The following is a 23,497-nucleotide window of genomic DNA, read 5'->3' as shown; positions in this document are numbered from 1 at the left end:
TATTTTCACCCTGACTACTTTTGTCCAATGACCTAACACATTTAAACTTTGCTCAAGAATTTAGAACAGGCTGGGCACAGTGGCTCACACCTGGAACCTCAGCACTTTGAGAGGCCAAGGTGGGAGGATCGCTTGAGCCCAGGAGTTCGCGACCAGCTGTCTCAAACATAGGGAGACCCTGTCTCTACCAAAAGTAATTCAAAAAATTAGCCAGGTGTGGTGGCACACACCTGTGGTCCCATCTACGTGGGAGGCTGAGGTGGGAGGTCACCCTGGGAGGTCGAGGTTACAGTGAACCACTCCACCCTGGGCTACAGAGCAAGACCCTGTCTCAAAAAAAAAAAAGAAAAAAAAAAAGGGCCAAGCAGGGCGGCTCACGTCTGTAATTCCAACATTTTGGGAGGCCAAGGTGGAGAGGTCAAGGCTGCAGTGAGCTGTGATCCTGCCACTGCACTCCAGCCTAGGTGACAATGAGACCCTGTCTCAAAAAAAAAAAGAACTTAGGACAGTTTGATATTTCTCTTTGATTCTTTTTTTCTTTCAGTTTGTAATTTGCATATCTTGCACAGAATTTTAAACGTTAAATCTTATAAATGAATGAAGATGAAAACTGTATCTAACATTTACATTAATTTTTGCATTTAACAATCTTTTTTTTTTTTTTTTGAGATGGAGTCTCGCTATGTCACCCAGGCTGGAGTGCGGTGGCACGATCTCGGCTGACTGCAAGCTCCGCCTCCCGGGTTCAGGCCATTCTCTTGCCTCAGCCTCCCGAGTAGCTGGGACTACAGGCGCCCACCACCACGCCCGGCTAATTTTTCGTATTGTTAGTAGAGGCGGGGTTTCACCATGTTAGCTAGGATGGTCTCGATCTCCTGACCTCGTGATCCACCCGCCTCGGCCTCCCAAAGTGCTGGGATTACAGGCGTGAGCCACTGCACCCGGCCAACAATCTTTTAAGAAAAAACAAGGTATATTTTCTGAAATTTGTCCAGCGTGTGGCAATCTTCAGAAAACATTTGTATTTTTAGGATATTTAAATATGCAGATCACTTCACTTCACCATCATTATCTCATTTTTATCCTTATCAGTGTTGTCAGGCAGCTGTTATTTCCAAATGATGGAAGGGACAGAGAAGTTACAGCACTTGTGTTTTAAGAACTGGACCACAAGCACTTCAAGTCCTAACCCAGTGACCCTCCCCCAAGCCTTTCCATCTGCATCACTGGGGCCCAAAAGACTCAAAGCTAATAGATGTTTTTATAAAAGATCTGTGGACTGAAACTAAATATTAGTGCCCACTCTAATTTTAAGATTGGCTTTTTCAAGAAGCGATCCTTGCAAATAGAATTTACCAGAACAGTTTTTAGGCCTCACCACACTTTTGAAATAAGAATCCATCCCTAGGGTGGGGAAAGTTAGAAATACCATATACACTCAACTTCAAACCAATTTTTTTTTTCATGACAGAGTCTCACTGCATCGCCCAGGCTGGAGTACAGTGGTGCGATCTCGGCTCATTGCAACCTCTGCCTCCTGGGCTCATGCAATTCTCCTGCCTCAGCCTCCCAAGTAGCTGAGACTATAGACACACGCCATGCCTGGCTAATTTCTGTGTTTTTAGTAGAGACGGGGTTTCACCATGTTGGCCAGGCTGGTCTCGAACTCCTGACCTCCAGTGATCCATCCGCCTCGGCCTCCCCAAGTGCTGGGATTACAGGCATGAGCCACTGTGCCCAGCCAACTTCAACCCAAATTTAATCAGATAAACTTCAAAAAATAATCTGATCATATGAGCTACTTTCTCAGCCAAACTTTTAGGACAGGGGATTAGCATTGGCCTTACAGCACTTTGTTTTAGGAGACTGGCATGATTTCTCTTGAAATGTTAGGGTCAGCAGATAGGATGCAGGGCTGTAATGGGATAAGGAAGCAAGCAGGTAAGGAGTTGACTGGAGCTGATGCTCCTGGCAGGGTCGGGGTCAGGGAAAGAAGATGCTGACAAGATTGGGGCCCAGTCAGTACTCCATTCATCTGCCCCTGGGTTACCGTGATGCTAGGAGGACCACCACATAACACACATCTGGATGCTCTAGCAAGATGTCAGAACCCTGCCTTGAGAACCAGCTGAATTGCAGAACCATATCCTCCTCTTTTATGTTCTTGTGGAAATGTAAACAATTTGGCCAGGCGCGGTGGTTCATGCCTGTAATCCCAGCACTTTGGGAGGCCAAGGCAAGAGGATCACTTAAGGCTAGGAGTTCGAGACCAGCCTGGCCAACATGGTGAAACCCCATCTCTACTAAAAATACAAAAATTAGCCGGGCATGGTGGCTCATGCTTGTAGTCCCAGCTACTCAGGAGGCTGAGGCAGGAGAATCACTTGAACTAGGGAAGCAGAGGTTACAGCGAGCAGAGATCATGCCACGGCACGCCAGCCTGGGCAACAGAGAGAGACTCTGTCTCAAAAAAAAAGAAAAAGAAAAAAGAAAATGTAAACAATTTACAACTCTGGCAGTAAAACACGAACAGCAGATGAAGTTTACAGGCATTGCCTTTAATCCTATTCATGATGAACATATTTTCTAAAAACAAGTCATAGGCAAAATAACCACTGTCCCCCATTTTTTGAGGTAGTTGTTACACTTGCATGTCAGTCAGGGTTCCAGGCAGAAATAAATAGCATACTCCAGTGGGAAAATTAAGATTATTTTACAAGGTATTGGGCAAGGTTGAAGAAAACCAGCAAGGATGGTGAAATAGCCCTGACTGGCAATGACAGGGTGCCATTACCAAATCCTGCAGAGAGAGACGTTGGTGCTGGGGAGGGCCACCTGGCAGGAGCAGTGGCCTTCCTAGAGAAGCACAGCAGGGAGCAAGCCAGGGTCAATATTCTGACGCCTTTCTCCTCTCTCCAGTCTCTGCCAGGGCCTCTCATTGGCCAAACTAAACTGATGACCTTAGGGCTCAGAAGCCTTTGATGCAGTCCTGGCTGGTCTATCTGTCTCAAGGGGCACATGGCAGGGGGAGAATGGATCTGGAAGGACAAATGGAGGCTCTCCAGCCAATAAAAACTATAGCAGAGCAAATTTAAAGGAATAGATGTTTCCAGAGCTTTACTTGGAGGACACAGCTACTGACATTTTGAATCCCTTCTCCTAAGCAAAGAATATTCTATCCAAAGACAATGTATTTTAAGAACATCATGATTTTTTCTTCTACTACAGCATGGTCTTATGCCATAAAAGGAATTATGCTAATCCAGTCTATCAGTGAAACTCAGAAAAGATGGCTATCAGAGGTGGCACAGAAACATTTCAGGGAAATAATGGAGAGGCACCAAGAAATGGCTTTCTAAAGCAGCAGGAAAAAAGTTGAAGTCCATAAGCAGATAGGTTACCAATCCAGCAGCATCTCTTAGGAATGAAATGATTGATCACAAAGGTAAGATTTGTTGGAGCCCACATTGAATTTAATGCCAGTCATCCTTGTATACTAAACTCTATTTCCATAGCTGGGAGATATGACAGACTTTCTTTTTGTGACACTTTGTTCTTATGATATAGTTTTGAGTCTGTCTGTGGGATTTCAATCACCGAAATCAGGATTAGAGACAAGAAATCTTCCTTATATTATTAAGTAGGAAAGCAATGTGTTAAGGAGCCAGCCCTAACTTGGAGATAAATCTATTTTAATAAAGCACAGACATTCGTGAATAAGATGTGTCTTTGTGTTTATCATAATATCCCTGAAAACTTCTCTGATCATAAGGGAAAACCTCCCACCAATAGAATATTAGCAGTTCAATCACTAGGCCACCATGCACAAAGGTTAACTCACATTGTAGTGCCCCACAGTCGATGGAACTGAAGTGTGATGTTTTTCTTGTATTACTGTGCTGTCAGACAATGCCTGTCACATTAGAAAAAAAAAAATCTTCAAGAGAAAGACATAAAAGAGCTAAGAAAATAGACCTCTTTTTTTTTTTAAACATTAGCTTTCCATCAGAAAGCCACTTATACTGTATAACAACTGCCTGAACAGATACTGTATTGCAGCATGGGTCAACAAGAGAGAGGAGCTCTCTTTGTTGATTATTTTCAACAGAAAAATATGTAAGATGTCCATTTAGAAGTGCTTTCTCTAGAGTGCAGAGCTGAAACGAATACTATTGCAATCAACCTGCTATTATTCCTGTCTCAAATGTATGTTTTTAAAAATTCTTTTGTCCTATAAAGCACAAAGCTTTGTACAACTACGGTGAAATCCTTGAGTCATTTGACTGCTTCCCTATGCAATTCAAGAGCAGGTGAAAGGTAGACTATGGAAGTAACATACACAAAAATAATGAAGGCGACAAAACCTAAATTAGTTCCTCACTGGAGTTTTTTTGTCTGATTTTTAGAAAGAATGAGAATATTTTAAAATGGAACTTCTCAAGGACCTAGGAATTAGGTATCGATTTATTTTCCTGAATTTACAGCCTCCATAAACTTAAAAAGGAAATGAGTGACCATGGCAAAAACTGTTATAAACTCTTCCCAACATCCATTCCCCTTTCCCTCTTTAGTAACAGAACATCAGTTTCTAACAAAGTTGTTGCCCAGCTAAATGCTTTTACTGTATTTCCAATTCTCTACTACAGCAAGGTGTGGCCATGGCTGTGCCTTAGTTTTGCTCCATAATGTGTTTATGATATATACAAGTGAAAGTGTGGTTGTGAGGGATTTTGTGAAAGTTTTCCGACGGGCACGGTGGCTCACGCCTGTAATCCCAGCACTTTGGGAGGCTGAGATGGGTGGATCACCTGAGGTCGGGAGTTCGAGACCAGCCTGACTAACGTGGTGAAACCCTGTCTCTACTCAAAATACAAAAAAATAGCTGGGTGTGATGGCAGGCACCTGTAGTCCCAGCTACTCGGGAGGCTGAGGCAGGAGAATTGCTTGAACCCAGGAGGTGGAGGTTGCAGTGAGCCGACATCATGCCATTGTACTCCAGCCCGGGCGACAAGAGTGAAACTGTAATCCCAGCACTTTGAGAGTCCAAGGCGGGTGGATCACGAGGTCAAGAGATCGAGACCATCCTGGCTAACACGGTGTAACCTGTCTCTACTAAAAATACAAAAAATTAGCCGGGCGTGGTGGCAGGTGCCTGTAGTCCCAGCTACTCAGGAGGCTGAGGCAGGAGAATGGCGTGAACCCGGTAGGCGGAGCTAGCAGTGAGCCGAGATCGCACCACTGCTGACAGAGCGAGACTCAGTCTCAAAAAAAAGAAAGAAAGAAAGTTTTCCTTAAAAGGCAGGAAATAGGCCATCCTACCCACCTCCACCTCCCTCCCTGGAGTATGGATGTGACAGCTGGAACTCCTATGGCTATCCTGAACCCTGAAGTGATTTTGAGGCTGGTGGAGCAGAAGCCTGAAAGCCTGGAGCCCTGATGATTCCCTGGAGCCATTGGAGGCCATCCTTGGACTGCCTGTCCCCTGACATTTGTACATGAGAAAGATACATCCATCCTATTATTTGAGGATTTCTTTCTTTCCTTTTTTTTTTTTTTTTTTTTTTGGAGACACAGTCTCGCTCTGTCACCCAGCCTGGTCTCTGCAGCCTGGACCTCCTGGGCTCAAGCAACCCTCCAGCCCCAGCCTCCTGAGTAGCTGGGACTAGGCACATACCACCATGCCCAGCTAATTTTGTATTTTTTGTAGACCAGCCATGTTACCCAGGCTGGTCTTGAACTCCTGGGCTCAAGTGATCCTCCCAAAGTGAGCTCAAGGTGGGCTCCTGGGCTCAAGCTAGCCTTCCAAAGTGCTAGGATTACAGGTGTGAGCCACCACACCTGGCCAGGATTTTCTTTTTCAATTAGCCTGATAAAATCACACTACACTCCTGATGTGGAGGAATTGCTCTTTTTCTTCATCCTGCAGCTTTATGGTTTTATTTATTTTATTTATTTTTATTTTTTGAGACCAAGTCTTGCTCTGTGGTCCAGGCTGGAGTGCAGTAGTGCAATCTCGGCTCACTGCAATCTCTGCCTCCTGGGTTCAAGCGATTCTCCTGTGTCAGCCTCCCGAGTAGCTGGGACTACAGGCATGCACCACCACACACAGCTAATTTTTGTATTTTTAGTAGAGATGGGGTTTCGCCATGTTGGCCAGGCTGGTCTTGAACTCCTGACCTCAGATGATCCGCCCACCTTGGCCTCCCAAAGTGCTAGGATTACAGGCGTGAGCCACCACGCCTGGCCAGTTTTATTATGTATTTATTTATTTTTCTTTTGTATGTTCATTTTTTCTTTGATATAGGGTCTCTCTCTGTTGCCCAGGCTGGAGTGCAGTGGCGTGATCTTGGCTCACTGCAGCCTTGACCTCCCAGGCTCAAGGGATCCTCCCACCTCAACATCCAGGTAGCTGAGACTACAGACATGCCGCCACCAGACCACCAGGCTAATTTTTGTGTTTTTTGTAGAGACGGGGTCTCGCCATGTTGGCCAGGCTGGTCTCGAACTCCAGGGCTCAAGTGATCTGCCCCTCTTAACCTCCCAAAATGCTGGGATTACAGATGTGAGCCACTGCACCCGGCCAAGAAGGACTGTTAAAACAAACCTGACTACACCCTCTGACTTGACTGTACCTAGACTGTGACCACTGCAGTGGTGAAGACATCTGGGTTCTTAAGTTTCTTAGCCCAAGGTCAGTTTCCCAGTGCAGAGGCCCAGTGGCCACGGGGCTGCCTGGCCGCAGGGCGGCTTCACGGGCTGCACACTTAGGAGCCTGCACACTTCGGGTTTGATGCTCTGCAGCTGCTGTCTTGAATGTATTAATAATGTTATCTTGGAATTTGTGTTCTGTGAGCGAAGTCCAGTGGGGTGATGGCGCGTGCGGTGGGAACCGGCACCTAGGTTCACCCATGGTCTTGCTCCCATGGCCTTCCCACCTCCCCAGGATATGTTCCCATCCCTCTGTTACCGCCCAGTCACCACTGCTGTCCCCCTCCATGGATGGAGTCCTGAGCACAGGCATGAGGAGGCTCCAGGTGGGTCATGTACTCTGTGTACCGAGTCACCAAGCAAGAACCCAGGCGAGTAGGAGGTTTTGTGTTCACCCACGAATATCTTCATTCCCAAGAGAACATGACATTAAATAGCAAATTAAAAACACCATAATTGGTGGAGAAAGAGACCGCAGGTGAAGGAAGGAAAAAGCTTTTTTCCAGCTTTTGAATGAGGAGCCCCATATTTTCATGTTGCCCTGACCCCTGCAAATTACACAGCTGGCCTTGCCTTGCACAGAAATGGAAAGGACCAAGGAACAGAGGCCAGGACCTGTGCCCAGTTCCACCTAGCTTTGCTGTAGGAGCAGGGCGGGCCTCCTGGGTGTGCTAGAGGCGCCGCCCTCCCCAGCCTCGCCGATGCTCCAGCAGCTGATGCTGGAAATACAGGAAACTCAGCCAAGAAGCCTTTTCTAGTCCCAGTCAGGGAGTCAGTGGCACCTCCCACACCTGTGCCTCAGGGTCGCCTTGATGCTTTTTTGAGCCAGGCTGCGTCCAGCTGTAAATGCTTGGAGGCGGTGCGTGCTGGTAAATGTTTAACAACTAGCTCTCTGGGGACAGGAGCCCTCATTTGTAGCATTTGCTGGTTGCCATGGTGTAAATATTCCCACCAGGGCCAATTTTTGAGCTACCAATATTTGATAATCTTGAAAATTTAGCAAAAGTCTGGCCGGGCGCAGTGGCTCACGCCTGTAATCCCAGCACTTTGGGAGGCTGAGGCAGGCAGATTGCCTGAGGTCAGGAGTTTGATTCGAGACCAATCTGGCCAACATGGTGAAACCCCATCTCTACTAAAAATACAAAAAAAAAATTTAGCCGGGTTTGGTGGCGTGCGCCTGTAATCTCAGCTACTCGGGAGGCTGAGGCAGGGAAATAGCTTGAACCAGGGAGGTGGAGGTTGCAGTGAGCCGAGATCACACCACTGCACTTCAGCCTGGGTGACAGAGCAAGATTCCATCTCAAAAAAAAAAAAAAAAGTCTTGAAAACTTAACAATTGGCTTGGCTTTCACAAGCTAATGCAAGTAGGGTATTGCACACTACTGCTTGGAGGAACAAGGAAAGAGAACTCATTGTGATTTCATCTAAAATCTAGGAGAACATGAACAGGGAATTTACAGAAGAAAACCTGAAGAACCAGCAAATATGCATCGGTGCTCAAACTCACCGGTGATTAGGATAATGCAGATGAAACACTAAGAAGATACACCACTTTTTAAAAATCAGGTGGATAGCAAGGTTAAATCTCAAGTTCCGGTGAGATGCATGACTTGGGAATGTAAATCTGTGCAGACACTTTGGAGAGCAATTTGATAGTATCCAATACAATGTAGGATGTATGTAAGCCCCAAAGTTCCTCCTGGAGTTTAGGGACATTCCTGCACGTGCTCAAGGATGTTCTCTGAACTATTCTTTTTTTGTTTTGTTTTGCTGTTTTGTTTTGTTTTTGAGACAGAGTTTTGCTCTGTCGCCCAGGCTGGAGTGCAGTGGTGCGATCTCAGCTCACTGCAACCTCCGCCTCCTGGGTTCAAGCGATTCTTCTGCCTCAGGCTCCCGAGTAGCTGGAATTACAGGTGCACACCACCACACCTGGGTAATTTTTGTTTTTTTTTAATTTTTTGTATTTTTCGTAGCGATGGGGTGTCTCCATGTTGGCCAGGCTGGTCTCGAACTCCTGACCTCAAGTGATCCACCCACCTCAGCCTCCCAAAGTGCTGAGATTACAGGCATGAGCCACTGCGCCCAGCCCCAAAGTATTCTAATCATAGCGAACTCCTGGTGCCATCTCTTAGTCTCAACAATGATCAACTTGTGGCCAGCCCGGCTTCAGTTTTCTCTCCATCTGCTTCTCCACCTTCCCAAATTATTTTGAGGTAAATCTCAGACATCCTATCATTTTGTCTGTAAATATATTTCTATCTCTGAAAGTAAAAAACAAACAAAAAGCCTGTGGTAGGCTTTTCGTTCAATATGAGAGAGAGAAACCCCAGCAGGGTTATCAGGGAAGGGCAGATAAAGAGGGGAATTTTTACAAAGGTACTTTTACAGGAGCTATGAAGTTTGGTTAGTCTAACAATAACATTTCCAGTGCATTCCCTGAGGAAACTGTCCCTGTCCCCTCCCAGACACAGCAGGCTACAGGGGCAGCCTTCTGTTGCTTGGCGGATTTTGAGGTCAAACAGAATCTGTGCTAGGTAATCAGCTTAGTGGATAAAAAACCAAGAACTTACATCTGCAGAGTACTTACAAACTCTCAGTGTAGGGGGTTGATTCGTGTCTGTATAATGTTCCCTTGAATATTGTACTTCGTTGTCACTATTTGAGAATATGTGCCTGATTAGTAATACCCAGTACATAAAAATACCAAATATATAACTAACCACATGAGCAGGCTTTAAAATGATGGTGACTTTAATTGCTAAATTCACTCCCAGTTCTAAAATGTGGTTTGCATGTAATATTTCATCCAGAAAAAAAGGTTGCTAATAGCAATGTCATTACAGATTGTTTGTCAACCTTAATCAAAATAATTTCCCTTTCCAAATTGCTGCTTTAGTCTGTGCTTTGTGAAAGGAGTTTTAGAATTTTGTTTTAATCTGAAAATCAATCAGCTAGAGAGGTGAAAAAGTGGAAAAGGAAAAACATGAGACATGTCTGTATTTTAAGAGATTCTGTAGCAAAAGCTTCGTACACCATACTCTATGGTTTCCAATTGAGTGCTAGAAAACTTCCAGAATACAACAGAGAAATTATCCCTACATGGAATATGGTTTCATAATTCCAACACACGATACATAATTCCCCCACATTGTTTCCTTAGTTTCATTCAGTAAAAATCATTACTGTATCTTTAGATAATAAGCAGTGAGTAGCCAGCTGAGTAGGAGAAGATACTGGTGTGAAAGAACTGTGATGTCTTGGGAAAAAATTCCTGGGCTGGGCACATTGGCTCACGCCTGTAATCCCAGCACTTTAAGAGATTCTCCCCCAAGCTGGGCAGATCACCTGAGGTCAGGAGTTCAAGACCAGCCTGACCAACATGGTGAAAACCCATTTCTACAAAAAATACAAAAATTAGCCAGACGTGGTGGCACATGCCTGTAATCCCAGCTACTTAGGAGGCTGAGGCAGGAGAATCGCTCAAACCCAGTGAGCCAAGATTGTGCCACTGCACTCCAGCCTGGGCGATAAAGCGAGACTCTATCTGAAAAAAGAAAAAAAAAAGCCGGGCATGGTGGCTCAAGCCTGTAATCCCAGCACTTTGGGAGGCCAAGGCAGGTGGATCACGAGGTCAGGAGATCAAGACCATCCTGGCTAACATGGTGAAACCCCGTCTCTACTAAAAATACAAAAAATTAGCCAGGCGTGGTGGTGGGCGCCTGTAGTCCCAGCTACTTGGGAGGCTGAGGCAGGAGAATGGCGCGAACTCGGGAGGCAGAGCTTGTAGTGAGCCGAGATCACGCCACTGCACTCCAGCCTGGGAAACAGAGCAAGACTCTGTCTCAAAAAAAAAAAAAAATTCTGGAGCACAAAGGATCTGGTTCATTTTTCGGTCATGGGAAGTCAGCCTCTTGCCCTACCGCTGGTGCTACTATCAGAGTGAATCTTCATCTGGAGCAATGGCTAAATTTAAATATAGTTACTGGAATGGAACATTGCTAGATGATGGATGTCAGCTACTCTGAAAGCAGAAAAGACAGGGCTGTGGCCTCCACATCCACAGAGCAGGAGGCATTGTCCTCTGGACCCCCCTAATTATGCCTCTGTCCCTGAAGCAACATGACAACTTTCCTCTCCATACCCTGCAATTCCTGTCCCACTTTCATAAGCTCCAGAACATTCTCTTTATTGATTACTTTTATGTATTATAAAGACAGTTGGTTTATTTTGAAATTTTATGCTGGGGATGGGGAGTGGAGAGGCTCCTAATGGGGTGCCCCTGCCTCTCCACTGTTTCTGCCTCGGCAGCAGGACAGCGTGGTGGCTCCAGGGTCACCTGTATAACACCAGCTGTGGTATTGAGCCAGACATTGCCTCAGGTGGCCTCTGTTTACTCATCCGTAAAATGGGGATAATAATACACTCACCTCATAGGGTTGTTGTGAAGACTAAACGAGAACGTGTGTGCCCCAACCTCAGCAGCGTGATGGAGAAAGGGGACCACAGGGCCGAGCCTCAGAGAATCTCCTTCAGGGCCTCCTCAGCCCAAACTGCTTCCAGCTCCTTCTCTGCACATGGGCCGGCCAGCCACTTCTCTCTAGGCCTCTTTTGTTTTTTTTAAAGGTGGGAGGGGTAGATGAGATCATGAATAAATTCCCTTCCAGGCATAAAGTTCTATCAACTCCTTTTGAAATGACTGACTCAGTGCAAAATATGCACAATTCTATAGTATATGACGCCGTGACCAAATCACAGAGCTTCTCTTTCCATAGATTAAGCGTACATGTGGGGCCTGGCACGGTGGCTCATGCCTGTAATTCCAGCACTTTGGGAGGCCAAGGCAGATGGATCAATTGAGCCCAGAAATTCGAGACCAGCCTGGGCAACACGACAAAACTCCTACAAAAAATACAAAATTAACCTGGTGTGGTAGTGCATGTCTGTAGTTCCAGCTCCTCGGGAGGCTGAGGTGGGAGGATCACAGGAGCCTACGAGGTTGAGGCTGCAGTAGGCAGTGATGGCACCACTGCACTCCAACTGTGGTGACAGAATGAGACCCTGTCTCAAAATAAAAACGAAAACCCTCCATGTGAGAAACTTGTGTAGGGCTCTAAGGCAGATAAACCCAGAGGGAGCTGATGGATCCCCTGATGAACAACGAAGTTTGTGTTTATGAGCCCAGAGGAATTGCCCTTTTACCCCAGTGATAAAGGATTTTTTTTTTCGGGACGGAGTCTCACTCTGTCGCCCAGGCTGGAGTGCGGTGGCACGATCTCGGCTCACTGCAAGCTCCGCCTCCTGGGTTCACACCATTCTCCTGCCTCAGCCTCCCGAGTAGATGGGACTACAGGTGTCCACCACCTCGCCCGGCTAATTTTTTTGTATTTTTTTTAGTAGAGACGGGGTTTCACCGTGTTAGCCAGGGTGGTCTCAATCTCCTGACCTCGTGATCCACCCACCTCAGCCTCCCAAAGTGCTGGGATTACAGGCGTGAGCCACCGCACCCGGCCTTTTTTTCGTTTTTTTTTTTTTTTTTTTTTTTTGAGAGAGAACAGTCTCGCTCTGTCGCCCAGGCTGGAGTGCAGTGGCACGATCTCGGCTCACTTTAACCTGTGCCTGCTGGGTTCAAGCAATTCTCCTGCCTCAGCCTTCTGAGTAGCTGGGATTAAAAGCATGTGCCACTATGCCTGGCTAAATTTTTTTTTTTTTTTTTGTATTTTTAGTAGAGTCTGTTGGTCAGGCTGGTCTTGAACTCCTGACCTCAAATGATCTCTTTGTGTGTGTGTGTTTATGTGTATGTGTGTGGAATGGATGACCCTCCCTAAGGGCATAAAGTGGGTACACCCACATGTACATTGACCTTGATTTGTATCACATTTGACTGCTTGCAAAGCATTTTCACCACCATTATCTCCCAATTTAATGAACTAAGCCAGATTCTAGCAATTTCACAAGATCCGCTTCCTCCTGAGTAAAGCCTTTTCCAGAAATGTCAACAGTTCTGGAGAATGTGAGTATCTTTGGGTCATCAAAGTTGAGGCACCTTAACTGGGGATCCCACCAAAAGATTATAGTGGCCACTTTTGAGAACACATTTTTTCACTTACATTGTTGAATCATATGTGTGAGTGTGTTTGTGTAAGAGGCATATGTCATGGAGTTTAAGATGTACATTTTTTCACGTTTAATGTATTTGAATTTGGGATGCATCTCACAATACAGTCTTAGCTTTCTGCCTTAAACCTGCACACTGACTGGGTTGATAGTGTCACCTGGAACTTCAGAGTGTGACCTTATTTGGAGATAGAGTCTTTATAGGTGCAATCATAAGATGAGCTCATACTGTTTTAGGGTGAGCCCTAAATCCAGCATGACCAGATTCCTTATAAGGAGAGGAAAGGACACAAAGAAGACACAGGGAAGAAGGCCAGGTGACAACGGAGGTAGAGTTTGGAGTGATGTGTCTACAAGCCAAGGAACAGCAAGGATTACTGGCAAACACCAAAAGCTTGGAAGAGGCAAAGAGGGCTCCCTTCCTAGAGCCTCTGGAGGAGGCACAGCCCTGCTAACACCTTGCCTGCTGATTTTTAGCCACCAGAAATGTGAGAGTGGCCGGGTATGGTGGCTCATACCTGTAATCCCAGCACCTTGGGAGGCCGAGGCAGGAGGATAACTTGGGCTCAGGGGTTTGAGACCAGCCTGGGCAACATAGTGAGATCTGGTCTCTACTAAGAAAAAAAAATTAGTTGGGCATGATGGTATGCACCTCTAGTCTTAGCTATTCGGGAGGCTGAGATAGGAGGATCACTCGAGCCTGGGAGGTCGAGGCTGCAGGGAGCTGTGATTGCACCACTGCACTCCAGCCTGAGTGACAGAGCAAGAGCTTGCCTCAAAACAAAACAAAACAAAACAAACAAACAAACAAAAAAACCCAGAAATGTGAGAGTTCAGTTTCTTTCTATTGATTTCAGCCCTTCGTGTATGGGAGTTTGTTACAGCAGTCCTGGCAAATGAGTACACCCTGCAAAGAGTGTGCATGTACCTGTGCGTACACACACACACACACACACACTCTCACACAGGCACATATAGGTTTGTTTCTTTCTCCTTACTCACAAAAGAAGGAGGAAGGGAGCTGACGTCCCCTGAGCTGCCGATGCATGCCGAGCTGGCTACCCTCACAGAGGCCAGCTCACAGAATTCCTGCCGCTCCTGGCAGTCAGCACCCATTGACAGATAAGGAGTCTGACCACAGAGAGACTAAGCTGGGCCTGACTACAGGTCCCATGGGCTTCAGAGGTGGCATCGCCATTAGATTCTGGCAAGGAAAAAAATCATTTTTTTTTAAAGACGCATGTTAGGTAACCATGATATCAGTCTTCTGGGCATAAGAGAAATGGTGAGCATCGTACAAAGTTCTTACATTCAATTTGTTGAGTGCCCTGAATTTGTCTTTAAAGGATACATTTTTGCCACCCTTACCCCAGCAGTCTAAGAGTCAGAGAGCCTAGGCAGCCATGGCAAAGGGAATAAACCATCCTCGGAGCTGAGCTTCATCCTGGGACAAGCTCCAGAGTCCTGTGTCCCCACGTCTCTCCTCCCTACAAAATCCCAGGAGCTCTGGGTTCTCCTGAAGCCATTCCCTCCTCTCAGCCAGGGCACTCCCGTAGTCCTGCCCTGGGTGTGTTACGGTGCAGGGAATGCAATATGGTACTATTTGCATGTGTTTTTTTTCTTTCTTTCTTTCTTTTTTTTTTTTTTTTAGATGGAGTGTCGCTCTGTCACCCAGGCTAGAATGCAGTAGAGCTATCACAGCTCACTGCAACCTCCGCCTCCTGGGTTCAAGCAATTCTCCTGCCTCAGCTGAGTAGCTGGGACTACAGGCACACACCACCATGCCCGGCTAATTTTTTTGTATTTCTAGTAGAGACAGGGTTTCAACACATTGGTCAGGCTGGTCTCGAACTCCTGACCTCAGGCGATCCACCCGCTTCGGCCTCCCAAAGTGTTGGGATTACAGGTGTGAGCCACTGCGCCTGGTCAATGTGGTTCCTTTTCAAGGAAGGAAGGGAGGGAGGGAAGCATAAAGGGAGAGATGGGCCAGGGCAGTGGCTGACACCTGTACTCCCAGCACTTTGGGAGGCCGAGGTGGGCAGATCACCTGAGGTCAGGAGTTTGAGACCAGCCTGGCCAACATAGCAAAACCCCATCTCTACTGAAAATACAAAAAAAAAAAAAAAAAATTAGCCAGGCATGTTGGTGTGGCACGCCTGTAGTTCCAGCTACTTGGGGGACTGAGGCTCAAGAATTGCTTAAACCCAGGAGGCAGAGGTTGCAGTGAGCTGAGATCGTGCCACTGCACTCCAGCCTGAGCATTACAGCGACACTCCATCTCAAAAAAAAAAAAAAAAAAAAAGGTCGGGTGCGGTGGCTTGCACCTGTAATCCCAGCACTTTGGGAGGCCGAGGCAAGTGGATCACTTGAGGTCAGGAGTTTGAGACCAGCCTGGTCAACATGGTGAAACCCAGTCTCTACTAAAAAAACAAAAATTAGTCAGGCATAGTGATGCACTGCTGTAATTCCAGCTACTTGGGAGGCTGAGGCAGGAGAATCGCTTGAAGCCGGGAGGAGGAGGTTGCAGTGTGCCACTGCACTCCAACCTGGGTGACAGAGCAAGACTCTGTCTCAAAAAAAAAAAAAAAGCAGGTTGCGGGGGATGGGCAGGGAGAGGGAGAGGGAAGAAAAGGGAGTAAGCAAGGAAAGTGGGCTTAGCACAGGGCCTGGAACCTAGCAGATGCTGCTCAGTGTCTGCCACTCTACTCCCTGCAGGAAACAGGGCTGCATTTTTGCGCTTACAGAAAAGTCTTTCCCTTTACACCCAGGCATGAGAGGCCCTTTCCATGAGCCTTATACGTGACAAACATACACATGAAACACATGTATTGAGGAGCACCGGGGTGTTTTGGCCCCGTGGGATCCTGTACTCAGCATTGGCCCAGCACAAGTCAGCACTGTAAACACCACCAGCCAGGACTAGGATGTGTCAGGCCTGGAGAGATGCTTCTCCGCAAGGCCTGGCCCCTGACCTTGAACAGAAGGTGACCTTGTCTGGTCATCCTGGAGATTTGTGGGTTGTGGTGCTCCCAGCATTGGAGTCAGGCACTGCTTCAGAGAGCAGAGACGATTTAGCCAAGGGAAGACCTTAGGCCAGAGAAAGACAGGTTGTTCAATTTGTCAAATCGTCAAATAGCATAAATACAACCGATTCTTACTCATGGAAATATTATTTCCCAGTAGTCCTGGGTCCCTGCATTTCTTCTCCTCATGTTTGAATTTGGGCTTGGGAGGCATTCACAGATTAGTGTACATTTCACAACAGTTGCATATGGTCACCAAGGAACATTGTATAATATTACACAGTTCATATTCTTCTTCTTCTTTTTTTTTTTTTTTTTTTGAGACAGAGTCTTGCTCTGTCGCCCAGGCTGGAGTGCAGTGGCACAATCTCGGCTCACTGCAACCTCCGGGTTCAAGCAATTCTCCTGCTTCAGCCACCCGAGTAGCTGGGACTACAGGTGCACACCACCATGCCTGGTTAATTTTGGTATTTTTAGTAGAGATGTGGTTTCACCATGTTGGCCAGGCTGGTCTTGAATTTCTGCTCTCAGGTGATCCACCCGCCTTGGCTTCCCAAAGTGCTGGGATTACAGGCATGAGCCACTTCGCATATTATTCTTAAACGTGTCTATGTAGGGCCCAGATATAATATGTGTGAAGCATAATACCAGCTATTTATGTTACTCTGTGCCTCTAGCTATTGCTTTAAGAGATGAGAAAGATTGCCACTATAACTGATAGCAATTTACATGATAAAAATTAAATTTGTTACATATTTTCTGCCATGAAGATAATTTGTCACATGTGAAGGGGCCAAGGGAGAGCTTTCCCCTTGGTGCTCTAAAGGTTTGCTAAAAAAAAAAAAAAAAAATCAGCTCACAAAAGGCAGATGAATAGGAGAAAAAGGGCCAAGTGCAGTGACTCATCCCTGTAATCCCAGCACTTTGGGAGGCCAAGGTGGGAGAATTGCTTGAGCTCAGGAATTCAAGACCAGCCTGGGCAACATAGCAAGATCCCGTCTCTACCAAAAAAAAAAAAAAAAAAATGGCCGGGCGCGGTGGCTCACGCCTGTAATCCCAGCACTTTGGGAGGCCAAGGCGGGCGGATCACAAGATCAGGAGATCGAGACCATCCTGGCTAACATGGTGAAACCCTGTCTCTACTAAAAATACAAAAAATTAGCCAGGCGTGGTGGTGGGCGCCTGTAGTCCCAGCTACTCGGGAGGCTGAGGCAGGAGAATGGTGTGAACCTGGGACGCAGAGTTTGCAGTGAGCCGAGATCACACCACTGCACTCCAGCCTGGGTGACAGAGCGAGACTCCATCTCAAAAAATAAATAAATTAATTAACCAGGCAAGGCACATGCCTGTGGTCTCAGGTATTCGAGAAGCTGAGGTGGGACCAAGAGGCGAAGGCTGCAGTGAGTCATGGTTACACCACTGCACTCCAGCCTGGGTGACAGAGCAAGATCCTGTCTCAAAATAATAATAATAACAGTGATATTTTACTGACAATTCCAGTTGCTATTGCTTCAATAGAGCAAAATTTTGTTTTTCCAAATTGAAATTAATAATACTAAGAACTACAGTGACTCAAGAAAAGTTGCCTAACTTAGCATTACTATTAATTCAACACAAGTTATATGAAAATTTTGCTTACAACAACATAGTGACTTTGCTGAAATACAGGAAAGAAAAATGTTTTAATTTAAATTAGAATATATATATTCTAAATATATAATAAATATATATAATATATAAATATATAATGTATTAATAATTATTTTATTTATTATTTATTATTTATTATTATAAATATTATTAAATAATTATTGATTATTGATTATTAATTAATCATTAATCAATAATAATTTGAAACATTTAGACACATGCACCTGAGCCTCCATTTCCACTCCTGGGCCCTGGGCCCTGCAATGGTGGGGCAGGCCTGTTCTCTGGGCCTCCACTCTCTTTTACTTATTTATTTATTTAGAGACAGTGTCTCACTCTGTCACCTAGGCTGAAGTGCAGTGGCGTGATCACAGCTCACTGCAGTCTCAACCTCCTGGGCCCAAGCAATCCTCCCACCTCAGGACCCCACTCAACCCCCCAGGTAGTTGGGACCACAGCTACTCACCACCACAACCAGCTAAGTTTTGTATTTTTTGTAGAGATGGGGTTTTGCCATGTTGCCCAGGCTGGTCTCAAACTCCTGGGCTCAAAACAATCCACAGGCCTCAGCCTCCCAAAGTGCTGGGATTACAAGTGTGAGCCACCACGCCCAGCCTGGACCTCCACTTTCAATGGGCAGCTCCATTTAAATCACAAAAGTTCTGATGGCAGCTCCAGGTGAGGTACCCCTTTGGTGGTGATTGAGGAGAACCTTGGAGAAGGGTCCACTGAGCTGGCACTCTGGGTAGAATTCACTCCTCAGCGGGATGCGTTTCTTCTGCTAGTCCCTCCCTTCCTCTGCGTCTTCATACAAGGCATTCCAAGGCCCTAGTTACTGGCCCTGGGCCTTAAGAAAGAGTAAGGCCAGGCCGGATGCGGTGGCTCACGCCTGTAATCCCAGAACTTTGGGAGGCCGAGGCAGGTGGATCACAAGGTCAGTAGATCGAGACCATCCTGGCCAACAGGGTGAAACACCGTCTCTACTAAAATACAAAAGAAATTAGCCAGGCATGGTGGCATGCGCCTTGTAGTCCCAGCTACTTGGGAGGCTGAGCCAGGGGAATAGCTTGAACCCACGAGGTGGAGGTTGCAGTGAGCCAAGATCACGCCACTGCGCTCCAGCCTGGCGACAGAGCAAGACTCCATCTAAAAAAAAAAAATTAAACAAAAGAGTAAGGCCAGGAGTAGGCCAATGAGGAGCTGGCTACAGCTAAGGTGAGTATTGTGGACAGGGGTTTAGGTGGTTCTCTACTTGGGGGACCAAAGTGGAGAGAGTGACAGGGTGAGTCCCAGTGAGTATACACAAGGAGCTGCCCAAAGCAGATGCTAGGAGGACTCCAGGTAACATCCAAGCCCAAAGGCACCATCCAAGATTGGACCTACGTGCAGCTCCACGACAGCTGCTAACACCCAACACAGCACTGAAGCCACCTGACTCACGCACTGGGACACTGGCTGGAATTCTGGAGAGTCTGATGGAATCAGCATAGGTGAGGTGTCTCCTTATTCAATCATATTTGGCCAGGAGCTGAGATCACCTAATACAAACATGCCTACCTAGCTCCCCCTCCCTTTGCCAGGGCTTTAGGAGCATGCCTAGAAAAGGGGGCATGAGGGCATTGGAGTACCCCCAGTGTATCTATAACAAATGTGTCTACACCCAATGTATCCGACAAATGGTTGTCCAGCTGGCTTAGGGTGAAGGAGTGGGACATGAGGAACGATGGAGCTCCTTTCCTGAGGCTGCATAAATCTCCCCTGACCAGGGGTCAGCTCTCTCCTCCAGCCTGGGGGGTAGTGCCCTGAGCATGGTGATAATGGGCTCAGGAGGCTGCTGCCGGAGGGAGCAGAGGAATGGAAGGTGATGAGCTAAGCGGGGTGGAGGGGGGGCTGCATCTTTGGAGATTTATAGTCACCAGCCCCCAATCCAGACGGACTTCTTGGCTGAAAGCAACAAGCAGCCGCAGAGCTTGTAAATGCAATGAACCATCAAGGTTAGAAAAAACTGCATCCGGCAACTTTGAGCTCAGCATCCTTTTATTAAATGGGTTATTTGGCTATTTGAACAATCTATTGTAACTCAGTCCATTGACACGGTCAAGAAGGTGATCAGATTAGAATCTGAAGAGGATGAGAAGCACCAAATCACATCTCCGATGTCACGGAGGCTAAATCTACACATAACCCAAATCCACATATAACACGTCATCCTCTAAGAGGCACCCTTGCAATTGCAGGATTTCAGCATTTACAGGCCATTTCCAGCACCATAGCAACCCAAACTGCACAATACATAACAGCATCTGGAGATTCTCAGCCCTGAGCCAGGGGCCTAAGAAAAAGAAGTCACGGCAGCATTGAGATGACGAGTTCATTCACTGAAGGAACTAAAATTGAGAATTTAAGATACAAAAGTTCAATAAGTTATTGACTTGATGACAATTTTCTCTCTTATAATCTAGAAGAGAAAAAAAGGGGTATTACTGTGCCTCAGGTCTTCATTTTGACCAACAGGAGAGTGCCAAGTGGCAGGGACGAAATGGCATCATTTCGAAGGAGGGCCATTGCAGAATGGCCAGAGATACAAAAGCTGGACAACTGACTTAGTTATCCTGACTCTTTTTTTTTTGAGACAGGGTCTCTCTCTGTCATCCAGGCTGGAGTGCAGTGGCGCTATAAGGGCTCTCTGCAGCCTCCATCTCCCAGGCTCAATCCATCCTCCCACCTCAACTTCCTGAGTAGCTGGGACTACAGGTGCACACTACCACACCTAGGTAATGTTCTTTTTTTTTTTTTTTTTTTTTGTAGAGACTGGGTCTCTCTCTGTTGCCCAGGCTGGTCTTGAAATCCTGGGCTCAGGAGATCCTCCCACCACAGCCTCCCAAAGTGCTGGGATGACAGCCAGGAGCCACCATGCCCGGCCTGTCCTAACTCTCAAGAAAGCGGCTCTCAAAATGTGTAGAGAAAAGGTATATGTGTCCCAAGGGTCTGGAACATTCTGATTTTACACCTACAGACCCCAGTGAAGGGCAGTGGAGTGCAAAGCAACATAGCCACACAAGGTTGAGATCCCGCTAGCATAAGGAAGGGGCCTGGGAAGGTCAGAGGGGTTATGACGAGGCCCTGTGAGCCTTGGCCTCATCAGTCCTGGGCCACCAAAGGGCAGAGTGGCACTGCAGCAGCCTGCCCCAAGCTCCCTGCTGGAAAATGCTCCACTTCCCAGATCATTTATCCTCCTAGGTCCTGGTGGCTCATGGCCTTTTCCCAGCAGCCACTGCTGCCACCTTCACTTCTTTCTTTTTTTTTTTTAAGAGGGAGTCTCCTTTTGTCGCCCAGGCTAGAGTGCAATGGCATGATCTTGGCTCACTGCAACCTCCGCCTCCCAGGTTCAAGAAATTCTCCTGCCTTAGCCTCCACAGTGGCTGGGATTATAGGCGACCACCACCACGCCCAGCTAATTTTTTTGTTTTTAGTAGAGACAGGGTTTCACCATGATCGCCAGGCTGGTCTCAAACCCCTAACCTCAGGTGATCCACCCACCTCGGCCTCCCAAAATGCTGGGATTGCAGGTGTGAGCCACCACGCCTGGCCTCACCTTCACTTCTCTCCCTTCACTTGATGGCCTTAAACTCATGCTTCCTGTACCCCTCCAGGCTGTGGCTCTTTGAGGCTGTAGGTCCTGCTACTGTCAACTATTGCTGGTCCCAGAAGTTAGAGAAGAGTTTTGCCAAGACATTGTCCATCGCTCTTTAAAGGCAGCAGGCAGAGCAGTCAGCCATGCCGAGAGAATCACAATTGGATGTGCACACAGAAGGAGACTCAGGGCAGTACTACTCTACCATGATCATGTTGGCCAACGTTTCTATCATTGTAAATGTTGTCCTCATTGAGTTGGCACATTATGACTCTGTCCATACAGGAGGCTCAAGCACTCTTTAAAAAGCACTGCAGGGCCAGGCGCGGTGGCTCACACCTGTAATCCCAACACTTTGGGAGGCCGAGGTGGGCGGATCACCTGAGGTCAGGAGTTTGAGATCAGCCTGGCCAATATGGTGAAACCCTGTCTCTACCAAAAATACAAAATTAGCCGGGTGTGGTGGCAGGCACCTGTGATCCCAGGTACTCGGGAGGCTGAGGCAGGAGAATCACTTGAACCCAGGAGGTAGAGGTTGCAGTGAGCCAAGACTGTACCACTGCACTCCAGCCTGGGTGACAGACCAAGACTCTGTCTCCAAATAAATAAATAAATAAATAAATAAATAAATAAATAAATAAAGCCCTTCAGTTTCCCTCCTGTCTGCCCCAGGAGTGTGACACCCTCTTACCCCAACCTTTGCAGTTCATCTGATTCTTTGAGTGTGCCCCTGAGTTGTCCCTCTTGCTAGCCTATTCCAGCTGATGACGCATTAGACAGTTTATCTGGCTTTCTGCTGTGACATTTCCCCAGTGTCCTAACTTTCAAGTTGTACTCTAGGGCCAGATGAGCAGCCCATCTGACCTGGCTTCTCAGGGCCCACCACCTGCTCACCAAAGGCCCACTTCTCTAGGAGAATAAAAATCAGACAAAAATAATACTGATTCTTTCTCTCTTTCTCTCTCTCTCTCTCTCTTCCTTTCTCTTTCTTTCACTCTCCTCTGTCTCTTCCTCTTTTTCTTTTTTTTTCAGACAGAGTTTCTCTCTGTCACCTAGACTGGAGTGCAGTGAGCCATCTCAGCTCACTGCAACCTCCACCTCCTGGGTTCAAGCGATTCTCCTGCCTTAGCCTCCCAAAGTGCTGAGATTATAGGCGTAAGCCACTGTGCCTGGCCTTTCTCTTTCTCTCTCTCTCTTTCTTTCTCTCTGAGATGGGGGTCTCACTATGTTGCCCAGGCTGGACTATAATTTGTAGGCTCAAGCAATCCTTCCTCTCAGCCTTACAAATAGCTAGGACTAGAGATGTGTGCCACCATGCTCAGCCTAATACTCATCTCTTAACAGATGCAGTGGCTCACACCTATAATCCTAGCACTTTAGAAGGCCGAGACAGGAGGATCACTTGAACTCAGGAGTTTGAGACCAGCCTGGGCAACATAGCAAGACCCTGTCTCTACAAAAAATTAAAAAGTAGCTGGGTGTGGAGGCACAATCCCGTAGTCCCAGCTGCTTGGAAGGCTGAAGCAGGAGGATCACTTGAGCCCAGGAGTTTGAGGTTGAAATGAGCTACTGCACTCCAGCCTGAGCAAAAGAGTGAGACCCTCTCTCTAAATAAATAAATGAATAAGAAGATATGGAAAATATAGATAGAAATAAAGAATAAAATGAAAGTTATCCAGATATCCCAAACCAAGAGATATAACCACAGATAAAATTTTAAGAAATTTCCTGAAAGATATTATTTGAATATATCATCATTGGACTTGGTTTGTGTATGTTTCTATGTATATATTCTGCTTTTGAAAACTCACATTTGTCATTTCCCTATGTAATTCCATGTGTGTACACATTGTACATAGATACATACCCACACCTAAACCAAGTCCTTAACACTATTATAAACAACAGTTGCAGTGAACATATTTGTCCTAAAGTTTTTCTCTAGATCTCTATTTTAAACATACATACCTTATCAACATACAAACACTGTAGAAATGAATCTGTTTTGTAAATGCTCCCACTTCTTAACCCTTAACGTTCTGATGGACAGCCTGATGTCACAGAAAGCAACACAGAATCTGGAATCAGAATTCCTGAGATGGTTTGGCAGCATCACCACCTACTTCCTGTGACTTGGGCAAATCAATTAATCTCTCTGAGCTGTTTCCTCATCTGTAAATTTTAAATTAAGGTAATGATAACACCTGCCAAGTCTCTTACACCTCATGGGGTTAGAGTGAGAAGCAAACGACATCACAGATGTGAGAAACTTTGTGTGGGTAAGTGAGTAGGCGAGCTTGTTATACTTCAAAAAAGAGCATTGCACACATTTTTCTCTATTTTAGCTCAGACCTCTGGTCTCCTGGAA

Source organism: Homo sapiens, chromosome 10 (genome assembly GCF_000001405.40).
Source record: "Homo sapiens chromosome 10, GRCh38.p14 Primary Assembly".
NCBI lineage: Eukaryota > Metazoa > Chordata > Mammalia > Primates > Hominidae > Homo > Homo sapiens.
This window is presented reverse-complemented; position numbering follows the sequence as displayed.